General features: G+C 40.2%; 1 protein-coding gene and 1 long non-coding RNA gene across 15 annotated transcripts in view; one reads left to right on the plus strand and one right to left on the minus strand.

Annotated features, from left to right (window-relative positions):
* The window catches only part of GALNT16-AS1 (GALNT16 and EXD2 antisense RNA 1), a 77,510-nt gene that overhangs the window by 37,919 nt on the left and 27,106 nt on the right, over positions 1 to 12,485 (minus strand). For 2 of the 5 annotated variants that reach the window (NR_184253.1, NR_184251.1), the window contains one exon: positions 10,392 to 10,949. The exons of the other annotated variants lie outside the window; for them this stretch is intronic. This is a non-coding gene — a long non-coding RNA (GALNT16 and EXD2 antisense RNA 1). Of the gene's footprint in view, positions 1 to 10,391; positions 10,950 to 12,485 lie in introns of those variants that run through there. 5 annotated transcript variants of the gene reach the window in all.
* EXD2 (exonuclease 3'-5' domain containing 2) overlaps positions 1 to 12,485 on the plus strand; it is a 52,521-nt gene that overhangs the window by 29,439 nt on the left and 10,597 nt on the right. For all 10 annotated transcript variants that reach the window (NR_034164.2, NR_034165.2, NM_001193360.2 and 7 more), the window contains 2 exons: positions 7,880 to 8,136; positions 9,536 to 9,662. Coding sequence is in view for 8 of the 10 variants with exons in the window: in NM_001193360.2 (NP_001180289.1) it covers positions 7,880 to 8,136; positions 9,536 to 9,662 (384 nt within the window). In the remaining 2 variants the exon portion in view is untranslated. The remainder of the gene's footprint in view (positions 1 to 7,879; positions 8,137 to 9,535; positions 9,663 to 12,485) is intronic.

Below are 12,485 nucleotides of genomic sequence, written 5' to 3' on the forward strand. Positions count from 1 at the left end.
GCTCACTGCAGCCTCAAATTCCTGGGCTCAAGCAATCCTCCCACCTCAGCCTCCCAGGTAGCTGGGACTACAGGTGCATACCACCATGCCTGGCTAATCTTTTAATTTTTTTGTGGAGATGGGAGTCTTGCCATGTTGTCCAGGCTGGTGTCAAACTCCTGAGCTCAAGCAGTCCTTCTGCCTCAGCCTCCCAAAGTGCTGGGATTACAGGTGTGAGCCACTGTGCTTGGCCGTTGTCAGGCTTTGATTTAAAAAAGTTATGCTAGCTTCATACAACAGGTTAGGGGTGTTTCCTATTTTTATGTTCTCTGGAAGAGTTTGTATAAGATTGTCATTCTTTTTTACTTAAAATGTTTAGTTAGAATCTACTGGTGAAGCCATCTGGAGTTCTCCTTTAAGGGAAGTTTTTGAATTATGGATACAATTTCTTGAATAGTTATAGAGCTATTAATATTTTCTATTTCTTAATGTCTCAGTTTTGATAAGTTATATATTTCATTTATCATCTAAATATGTTATCTTTAAAATTTTTTAATTATTGGCATAAACCAAGTGTAGTGGCTCATGCCTGTAATCCCACCACTATGGGAGGCTGAGGCAGGAGGATCACACTTCAGGCAAGGAGTATGAGACCAGCCTGGTCAACACAATGAGAATCTGTCTTTACAAAAAAATTAAAAAATTAGCCTGGCATGGTGGTGTGAGTCTTTAGTCCCAGATACTCAGGAGGCTAAGGTGGTAGGATGGCTTGGGCCCAGGAGTTCAAGGCTGCAGTGAGCTATGATCATGCCACTGCACTACAGCCTGGGCAGCAAAGCGAGACCCTGTCTCCCCCTCCAAAAAAAATTATTGGCTGGCTGGGTGAGGTGGCTCATGCCTATAATCCCAGCACTTTGGGAGGCCAAGGCAGGTGGATCACAAGGTCAGGAGTTCAAGACCAGCCTGGCCAACATGGTGAAACCCTGTCTCTACTAAAAAAAAAAAAAAAAAAAAAAAAAAAAATTAGCCAGGCGTGGTGGTGCGCACCTGTAATCCCAGCTACTCGGGAGGCTGAGGCAGGAGAATCGCTTGAACCTGGGAGGTGGAGGTTGCAGTGAGCCAAGATCGTGCCATTGCACTCCACCTAGGTGGTAGGGTGAGACTCTATCTCAAAAAAAAAAAAAAATTATTGGCATATATTTGTTTATGATATCCTCTGAAAAATTTTACCCCATTTGGTAGATAACTAGGAATGTCTCTTTTTTCATTCCTGACTTTGCTTACTTGTGCTTCTTTTTTCTTCATAATTCCTTCCATGGGTTTATTAATTTTATTAGTCTTTTCAAATAACCAACTTTTTGCTTTGTTGATCTTCTTTATATTTGTGTTTAATTGATTTCTACTCTTATGTCTATTGTTTCTTTCCTTCTGTTCTCTTGGATATAATTTCTTATTCTTCATTATTCTTCAACCAACTTTAATCTGACATCTTTCCATATTACTCCACTGAAACTGGTCAAGTTGATGGCTTTCTTGTTTTCTAGTCCAGTGGACACTTATTTGGACTCGTTATTCTTGCTCTCAAAAGCATCACACTCACATTCTTCTATCTCCTATCTTATTATCCTTTCTACTTTTTCCTTTTCTGATTCCTGTTTTACCTGATATCTAAATATTGAAATGGGTCAGGCTTGGTCTCTTCTGTATCCACCCCAGATATTGCAAACTGAGATGCCTACAAGAGTCAAGCACGTTCTGTAAATGAATGATATAGAGTGATTGTTTGCTTTTTTTTAATACATAGGAATGTTCTTAAATTCGTAAGGAAATGTATTACCTTTCATGTTTTCTTTAAACATAAGGCCTCTAGGGTCTATCTTTCATTTTTGTAGTTTTACTAGCAACATGGATCCTGAGAAATATTTCTTTGTATTAGAAAAATAGTGGTGTACAAATATGATGGTAAGTGAAGACAACATTTGGCTTCAGTTGAAAAGACATATGGTGAATTAGAGAATTCATGCCTCATATAAATGAAAAAGCTGCCATATAGTTCAAACCAACTGTTACTGGATTGCCCAGTTCTTTAAAAAGAAACTTGGAGTATGGATTCTTTAAAATGTGAACTCTACTAATTTAAAAATTCTGGCGTAAGTTTTTAAATACGTGGAGACCAAAAATAATATTATAATAAAAGCATGTCTGTGAGTCAGCAGATGGATCCGTGGGCCACTAATTTATGTCTTCTAATTTCCATTCTTTTCCTGTATTCCCATCTAATTGTATGGCTTTAAATACCATTGATATGGTGATTACTCTCAAATTCAGAATGCCAGCCTTTCATATTCACCTGCCTACTTGACATCTCTCCTTGAATGTCTAATAGTCATCTCAAACTTAACATGTTCCTAACAGAATTCATTCTTGATTTTTCTTCCCAAACTTGTTATCCCTAGTCTTCCCCACATTTAAGATTAAAATCAGTGAGACATTCTTCTCTCAGAGGGTTGTCCAACAGGATGGTGATATGATTGAAAGGCAGAAATAAACAGACAGTATATGTTAAATTTCTTTAATGGCAAAATATATGCAAATCCAAAGAAGTGGTTATACAAAGCAGGAAATAACAGCATGCTATCACAAAGAGGTATAGGTTTCTTTGAGTTACCTATAATGAGGTATAACTGTGGATAAATCACCTGTACAAAATGAATATTCTGCCATGTTTTAGGAGCTATTATTGCCCTTCTCCTGAGGCAGGTGGAGACATTAAATACCTTTTTGATCCCCTGACTCCTGCCTGGTCCTTTCTGGAGACTCTGGCTACATATTTCCTTGCATAACAGGTACAAATAATTGGTGCAATAAAGGCTGAGCAAGGTGATTTTCCCAAAACCATCATCCTGTAGACCCAGTGTATTAGTCCATTCTTGCCCTGCTATAAAGAAATAGCTGAGACTGGGTAATTTATAAAGAAAAGGAGTTTAATTGGCTGTGCAGGAAGCATGGCCACATCTGCTTCTGGTGAGGCCTCCAGGAGCTTTTACTCATGGTGGAAGGCAAAGCGGGAACAGGCATCTTACATGGCAGGAGCAGCACCAAGACGGCGGGGAGGTGCCACACACTTTTTTTTTTTTGAGACAGGGTTTTACTCTGTCACCTAGGTTGGAGTGCAGTGGCGCAGTCTTGGCTCACTGCACTCTCCACCTCCCAGGCTTAAGTGATCCTCCCACCTCGGCCTCTGGAGTAGCTGGGACTACAGGTGCACACCACCATACCCATCCCCATGTTGCCCAGGCTGGTATCAAACTCCTGGACTTAAGCGATCCGCCCACCTTGGCCTCCCAAAGTGCTGGGATTACAGGTATGAGCCACCATACTCAGCCACCACACATTTTTAAACAACCATATCTTGTGAGAACTCACTCAGTATACAGTAACAAGGGGGAAGGGTGCTAAACCATGTATAAGAACTCCATCTCATGATCCAGTCATCTCCCACCAGGCTCTACCTCCAACATTGGGGATTAGAATTCAACATGAGATTTGGGTGGGGACACAGATCCAAACTATATCACACCCCTACTACCTCCTGAGTCCAAGCTTCAAGTATCTCTCACCTGGACTATTGCAAATCTTCCCTTGACTGGCCTCCCTGCTTTGACTCTTGTGCATGTACAATCCTTTCTCCATGCAGTCACCAAAATATTTTTTTTAAATGCAAATTAGATTGTGTCAGTCCTCTGCCCAAAACCCTTCCATTGCTTAGAGTAAAATGCAGATGGCCAGGTGCAGTGGCTCATGCCTGTAATCCAAGCATGTTGGGAGGCCGAGGCGGGTGGATCATGATGTCAAGAGATCGAGACCATCCTGGCCAACATGGTGAAACCCTGTCTCTACTAAAAATACAAAAATTAGCTGGGTGTGGTAGCGGGCACCTGAAGTCCCAGCTACTCAGGAGGCTGAGGCAGGAGAATCACTTGAACCCGGGAGGCAGAGGTTGCAGTGAGCCGAGATCACACCACTGCACTCCAGCCTGGCAACAGAGACTCCGTCTCAAAAAAAAAGAATAAAACGCAGATGTCTCAATTACCTACATGCTCTTAAGGTCTTACTTGCTGTAGCTTCTTTCAGCATCTCTGATTTTGTCTCCTCCTACTCTCTTTTCATCCTACTCTTATCGGCGTCTAGCCACATTGGGCCTTAGTTCTGTTGCCTGAACAGGGTAAACTCATTCCTATCTCAAAACCCTGGTCTAAATTTAACTGATACATAAACTCCACAGACTAGGGGTGCTCATTAGTTAACCTGTTCCAGCCCAGAAGATGGTCCCATGTCATTCTTTACTCTCTGTAGCCTTCATGAAGTCATTTAAAGAATCACAGGCCATTCCAGAAACTATTTTTTATGAATACTGTTTTGTTGGTTTTTTTCTTTTAAGAATACTGAAGCCAAAATGGATTATCCCCTGGCTCGTGGAAGGAGGACTCTAACCCATTGTTCTCTAAATGAATCACTGGAACAGCAGAGTGTTAGAAATTGTATCTGTAATGATTGTTGTTATTGTTCAGTTAAACTTTGTACTTTTGTGTATATATAACACATTAATACAGTATTATATGTGCGTAATTTATAAATATATATAGTATATGTCTCAAACATTTTCATATATGTTGACTAATTTTAAAAACCCTAGATTAAATAATGCTAATAAGACCACTGGTTTAAATAATGCTAATGAAATTAAAACGTGTCACTTTTTAATAATGTTGATAAGCCAAGGGTTTCTTGTTTCCCATGAGTAGTGATGTCAGGGCAAAAAGACATTAGAAAGCAAAAAGGGGGAAATATGAGAAATAGAGACTAGATATCTTATTCTTTAAGCTAAATTGACTCTCCTAGAAACATTATTCTTCCAATTATATATTCAATATAAGTTATGTACCTAGTGGAATCATAAACATTTGGATTCCTAGTGAGAAAACTTTGATTATAGTATATTGGATCTTAAGCACAATCCAGAAACATTAAAGACAACTCAATTTACCTATCTGTCTATTTATCTAGTTATTTATTTAATGTATTTTATCTTTTCTTTTTACTCACCACTGTATTAACAAGGAAATTAATGTATGGTAGACAATGAGACCTGACTGTAAAGAGGTACAAATATTGAACCTTAGGAATTTGTAGTGAGTTTTATGTCAAATTAGCAGTACTAGCTATTAGAAGTAGAGATTTATAGCTTTTTCTTGGAGAAAGCTGATATCACAGAGGGAAAGAACTACTCATTAATTTTTAAAAAAGTGATTTGGTCACATCCGGATGAATTATTAGAGAACTGGAACCCCAGTAGTCGTGTTTCTCACAGGTCTTTGTAACCTTGGCTGAGCCTCAAGAAATAGACAATGAGATCAAACTGGCATGCTTTCGTGTGAGGATACGAAAATAGCTCTCACTGATAAAGCAGTGCCTAAGAAGGAAGCGTAAGTCTTTTGTGAGTTAGATCATGGTTTTACTCCGCCTTAGAAAAGAAGTTGAGGGCTAGAGGGCCGGGCATGGTATCTCACGCCTGTAATCACAGCACTTTGGGAGGCTGAGATGGGCGGATCATTTGAGGTCAGGAGTTTGAGACCAGCCTGGCCAACATGGTGAAACCCTGTCTCTACTAAAAATACAAAAATTAGCTGGGTGTGGTGGCAGGCGCCTATAATCCCAGCTACTCGGGAGGCTGAGGCAGGAGAATCGCTTGAACCCGGGAGGGAGAGGTTGCAGTGAGCTGAGATTGCACTACTGTACTCCAGCCTAGGCAACAGAGCGAGACTTGGAAAAAAAGTTGAGGGCCAGAGCCCTCCCAGTTTTTTTTTTTTTTTTTTTAACAGCAGTTCTTTTGTGATCTTGACTATTTCCTCTGTGTGATTTTGGTCACTTCAATTATGCAATGTACCTCCTCTGATTAATTGTGACACTTTGCTTGAAACATTCCTTTGGCATTTACCATGTCATTTTCTGTGTGTGTGAGCTTGTGTTTATGTGTATCCCTCCTACTCCTCCTGTAAGATTATAAATTCCTTAAATCAGCACGCTCTCTTCCATTACTTTGTATGCAACTGTGGCACTGCAGGCCCAGCAGGCAGCTAGTACAGTAGCAAGAGGACCACATTGCCCTAGAGCAGAGTTTCTCAGCCTCCCCGCTATTGACATTTTGGGCAGATGATTCTTTTTTGTACATTGTAGGATGTTTAGCAGCCTTCTGGCCTTTACTTACTAGATGCCTATGTACTTCCTCCCCACTTGTGACAACCAAAAATTTTTCCAGATATTGCCAAATGTCTCTTGGGGTACAAAATTACCCTCAGTTGAGAACTACTATTCTAGGGACTGGGAAATTTAGGTGATAGTGTGATAGCCCTAGCTTTGCCATGATCTCACCATACTTGGTCAAACTGATTCACCTATATTCCTCTCCTGACAAGTGAGAAGGATTAGAATTTATTGGGTGTTTAATCTGGGTTCTATGGATAGCTTTAGGGAAATTTTAATCCCTTGAAAATGTATGTGAGTTTTGTATGTACATTTTTCTAGGAATAACATCCTTAGCTTTCAGCATTTTTTCAAACTTATCTATGACCCCAAAAAGATTAAACCTCAGCCAGGCGCAGTGGCTCATGCCTGTAATCCCAGCACTCTGGAAGGCCGAGGCAGAAGGATCACTTGAGGTCAGGAGTTCGAGACCAGGGTGACATGGTGAAACTTCATCTCTACAAAAAATACAAAAATTAGCTGGGCGTGCCTGTAACCCCAGCTACTCGGGAGGCTGAGGCAGGAGAATAGCTTGAACTCGGGAGGCGGAGGTTGCAGTGAGCCAAGATTGAGCCACTGCACTCAAGCCTGGGCGACAGACCCAGACTCCATCTAAAAAAAAGAAAAAAGATTAAACCTCGATCACTTATTGTATAAAGTTTTTTGTATCTTTTAAGATTTAAAGGCCCTAACTTATGCTCAATATACATTTTTTTTTCTTTTTATGAAAGCCATTTGTGACTAGAAAATGCTGAGAAAGCACTTGGTGCTACCTGGATTTATTATATTATCAGGTACCACTTATTTACAGTACTCTATCTTCTACCTCTTTTTAAAAATTGGATCTTGAGTCAGTGATGATAAGGTAAATGACTAGAGTTACCTGCGTGTACATTAGAGAGGCTGGATAATGAAAAGAGGATGTTTATCATTTCTCACTCTACTCCTGGGCCTTTTTTCCTTAGCCTTTTTTTTTTTTTTTTTTTTTTTGAGACAGAGTTTCACTCTTGTCGTTCAGGCTGGAGTGCAGTGGCGCAATCTCGGCTCACTGCAACCTCTGCCTCCCGGGTTCAAGCAATTCTCCTGCCTCAGGCTCCCATGTAGCTGGGATTACAGGCACATGCCACCATGCCCAGCTAATTTTTATAATTTTGGTAGAGACGGGGTTTCACCATGTTGGCCAAGCTTGTCTTGAACTCCTGACCTCAGGTGATCCGCCCGCCTTGGCCTCCCAAAGTGCTGGGATTACAGGCATGAGCTACCGTGCCCAGCCTCCTTAGCCTTTTAAAACCAGCATGTTCCATATGACTGCCAGTGTATGTCCCAGAGCTCCCCTGTGTCGGCTGGTCGCTGTTTATGGACTTATATTTCAGACCTTGGCGTTTGGGGTTCTCGGTAACCTTTGTTTAGGTCACTGCTTCACAAAGTCCATTGCATTTGTTACTGTAGACTTATCTGTAGATGCAAACCAAAACCTGGTCAGATGCTACCTTTGGGAAGTTAAGGATGTACCTCTTAGACTTTTTTGTCACAGTTATATGTTATGCTCGCTGCTGTGCTCAGGTGTGAACCACAACCTTGTCTTCCTCTGTTGCAGGTAAATTTGGAAGGCAAAGCCAGCCCTCTGTCACTTCTACAAATGGCCTCCCCAAGTGGCCTGTGTGTCTTGGTTCGCCTGCCCAAGCTAATCTGTGGAGGAAAAACACTACCAAGAACGTTATTGGATATTTTGGCAGATGGCACCATTTTGAAAGTTGGAGTGGGATGCTCAGAAGATGCCAGCAAGCTTCTGCAGGATTATGGCCTCGTTGTTAGGGGGTGCCTGGACCTCCGATACCTAGCCATGCGGCAGAGGTGTGGTTTGTATGAATGCTGGGATTCCTATAGCTGCGGGACAAATATTTTAGCCAGATTTGTAGATGCCTGGGACTCAATAGTGAGACATGTGAAATTGTATAGGAGCCTAGAGGCTTCTAAGATGCATATTGAATTTGTAAGGAGACATTCCACCTTCTGTGAAACTTTGGTTACCTAGAATTAGCCTTTTTAGATCAAACATTACTGAGGGATCTCTGTAAGCTACAGGCTAAAAGCTGGTGGTCCCACTGGCTAAATTATGGCTGCAAAGGGTTTTTGGTTTTCTTTTTTCCCATATGATATTTTTGGGAATTTTTGTTTAAATCAAGAATATTTAATGTAAAAATCTGTATTTCTGGCTTCTCTTGAAATTAGGTAATCTGACTACACTGAGTCTACAGTTCTAGATGGCAGCATTTGGCTGGGTAGCATATGTGCCCTTTAGATGAGCGTGCTCTGTTCAGTTTGCCAGAGTCCCCACCACTCCCATTGTAACCCTGGCTCCTCCTAATAAGCCTTTGAGTTTGTAGAGCCTGCTTTAGGCCAAAAATGATGGTAGACCAGCCCTTATCTGGGAGGAAGAGAGATTTCCTTTAGAATTTTATTCCTATGGAAATTTGATTTCAGCTTGTCTTTTTGGGGCGGGGAGTCGTAATTACCTCCTCATGTTTATGTATGGGTCCTCATTTATAACAACGTGGACTGAAACAGCCTCTTGCCCTGCCTGAAGTGACACAGTCACTAAAAGTTTGGAGATTTGGTAAACTAAAAGAAGGCCTGATTAAAATCTGTACTTATCACAATTTTTTAGTATAAAATGAAATTTTATTTTAGTTTGTTAGTTTGGCTTATATAAAGATCTTATAAGTGAAGTATAATTTTTTAAAGTAATACATTAAGATATTGCTGTGAAAATTAAAACTCTGCGAAAGTCTATGGAGTATAACAGTAAAAGCCCCCCTTCATCAGGCCCTCCTTTCTTTGGCACCAGCTCCCCAGAATGCCACTGTCACTGTGTGCTGTTAGAGGCAGTGTGGATAGAGGCTAAAAGCTGACTCGGGAGCACACTGCATGGGTAGGAGTCTCAGTGCTGCCACTTGCCAGCTGTATGACCTTTGGCACAGTACTAAGCCTCTCTGTTCCTCAGTTTCCTCATCTGTAAAGTAGAGTTGATAATGTAGCCACCTCACAGGGTTGGTGTGAGTATTAAATGAGTTAAACTACAGAAAGGATTTATAAAGTGTTTCACAAATAGATAACAAATTATCATTTTCTTCGATTTCTAGTGAGATTCAGTATGTTATCTCTGTTTATTGGCCATTTATATGTCTTTTTTGATTTTCTTGTCCATGTCCTTTGCCCGTTTTTGATGCATGGTTTTCTTTGTTTCTTTTAGAAACAATTTGCTCTGTAATGGGCTTAGCCTGAAGTCCCTCGCTGAGACTGTTTTGAACTTTCCCCTTGACAAGTCCCTTCTACTTCGTTGCAGCAACTGGGATGCTGAGACTCTCACAGAGGACCAGGTACTTCTTATCAGAGTAGTTGAAGAATGGAAAGTCATTGTTTCTGAAGTATAACTGTTTATAAAATTCGAATTCTCAAATATAGTATAAGTATTGGATGGAGATGCCTTAAAATAGATTCATTCTCTGGTGATACTCCAGCTAACTGGTCTACAATAATCACTTAAATAAAGGATAAGAGTCCTGCTTTTGTTTTATTTTTGAGATGGAGTCTCACTCTGTTGCCCAAGCTGGAGTGCAGTGGTACGGTCTTGGCTCACTGCAACCTCTGCCTCCTGGGTTCAAGCAATTCTCCTGCCTCAGCCTCCTGAGTAGCTGAGATTACAGATGTGCACCACCATGCCTGGCTAATATTTTTAGATTTTCAGTAGAGATGGGGTTTCACCACGTTGGTCAGGCTGGTCTCGAACTTCTGACCTCAAGTGATCCACCCACCTCAACCTCCAGGTGTGAGCTACCGAGCCTGGCCAAGAGTCCTGATTTTTTTTGAGCATTTACTATATGTTGGGCATTTCAGAAAAAGGGATTTTTTTTATGAATACAAATGTATAATTTAAAAAAAATATAGTGTTATAAGTGTGTAGGAGTTATAACTTATTTTAAGAAGCAGTAAGTAGTTCCCTGCATTACCTTTCCCCATTCCTAATCCTTCTTCCTTCTTCTCCTCAGAGGCAACCACTTTCATTTCTTTCTGGTAATTATCATTATACTTCTAAATTACATGCATGCGTTATTCTTTCTTATTTATTTATATTATCTTTTGACATCATACTGTGGGAGATACGGTTTAGTACTCTTGCAGCTCCCCTGTCCCCGGACAAATACTTCTCTTCCCCATCCTCCCAATTTAGGTAAATCATCATTTTTATCAGGTTAATATACAGTATTTATATTATTTATAGCTGAGTCACATAGTAAACTGCAGTTACTTTTATTTCCCAGGATTAATAATTAGTATTTTGTTTGCATAGTGTTCCATGTACCTATTATTTCCACCCCAGACTCCTTATCAGAACTATGGATCTCCTCTGGGCTGGTTCAGACACACGTCAGGTCACTTACTTGTTTCATTTTCCCTTGGAGCCTTCTCTCCTAGAGCCCTCTATCATCTGGCTCCTCCCAGGACGGAGTGCACTCTAGGCCTGCTGCCCAACTCTCATCCTGGAATTTGCATTTACCATCAGCCTGGAATTCCCTTCACCTTTCTCTTTCATAGTAGATCCTCTGTTTTTTAAATTCCATGTCTTCTTCCTTTCTTGCCTTGGTGGAGTACATTCATAACAGTTTCTTGAGAAAGGGAGCATGAGCAGTAAAAAAAAAAAAAAAAAAAAAAAAAAAGTCAGTAACTGTCTTTTCTCTCAGGTGACTTAGTTTCTCCACAGATGAATCTTCTAGTATTCTATTCAAGAAGTGTAAGTCCCACTGCCTATATTCCAGTCACTGAGTGGGGGAAAGGTGCCAGTGGTTTTAACATTCAATGTGTAATCTCTCCCTTAATCCCCCTTTCTTCAGGTGACATTTTGTCCCTCCCTTCAGTTTTGCCTGGTATTACCAGGTCCAGATCCTCTGTGGTTTAACCATTATATGATTTAAACTTTTACTGTCTTTTGGGCTAGGGGAGGGATAGTTGTCTGGCCCTGTGCTGTAAAGGAGGAGATCAGGGTGTAAGTGTTCTCTATAGAGATTTCACCTTATCCTTCTGTTTCCGCCCTTGCCTTCACAGATACCTGGTGTCTCCATTCCTTATGCTTTCCTGGTCTCTGTGGCTCAAACTCATTTGAACTTAGGCTTTTTGCCATACCACTTGCATAGGCCTAGTTTCAACCTTGCTTGCCAAGTCAGTTACCACTTGTTCATCCTTGAGAAATGTTAACTGGTTTCCAAAGTAGCTACACCATTTTGTATTCCCACCAGCAGTGTATGAGGGTGTCGGGGTTCTGCATCCTTGCTGACATTTGTTATTGTCAGTCTTTTCCATTAGAGCCATCCTAGTAGGTGTGAAGCGGTATTTCATTGTGGTTTTGATTTACATTTCCCTTGTGACTAATGATGCTGGGCATCTGTTCATGTGGGTATTGGCCATTTGTATATCTTCCGTGGAGAAATGTCTATTCATACATATCCTTTGCCCATGTTTTAATTGGGTCATTTGTTATTTTATTTTTGAGTTTTAGGAATTCTTTGTATACTCTAGATCCTTTTCAGATAGATGATCTATAAAGTATTTTCTACCATTGGTTGTTTGAAGCACAATAGTTTTTAATTTTGATGAGCTCCAGTTATCAGTTTCTTTTTAAAAATCTCTTCCTTTAATTGCTTATGCTTTTGGTGTCATAGTCAAGAAATCATTGCCTCACCCAAGGTCATGATGATTGGCTCCTATATTTTCTTCTAAAAGTCATATAGTTTTAGCTCTTGCATTTAAGTCTGTGATCCATTTTGAGTTAATTTTTGTGTGTCTTGTGAGGTAGGGGTCCACATTCACTCTTTTGCATGTGGACCTCCAGTCATCCTAGTACCATTTGTTTCTTTATCATTAGAAAATAATGTGTTAGAGGGAACTCTAAAGTCTTCTCATTCAAGCACACATTCTTCTGTGGGAAACAGTCTGCTAATAGATATGTAGATTGTTGGATCTAGGTGGAAAATTTTATCCAAACTTGTTTTACTCTAAAAGTATAAATGATCCTTACTAATAGAATTATTCACTGGCTTGGTTATTAAAGGTGAAATAATAGAATTTTAAAGTCCTTACACTTTTTGTTGGGAAAAGCTATTAATTTTAGTTTTTTTAAAATTTTAGTTTTTTTTTTAAATTTAATT

This window comes from Homo sapiens, chromosome 14 (genome assembly GCF_000001405.40).
Source record: "Homo sapiens chromosome 14, GRCh38.p14 Primary Assembly".
NCBI classification, from domain to species: domain Eukaryota; kingdom Metazoa; phylum Chordata; class Mammalia; order Primates; family Hominidae; genus Homo; species Homo sapiens.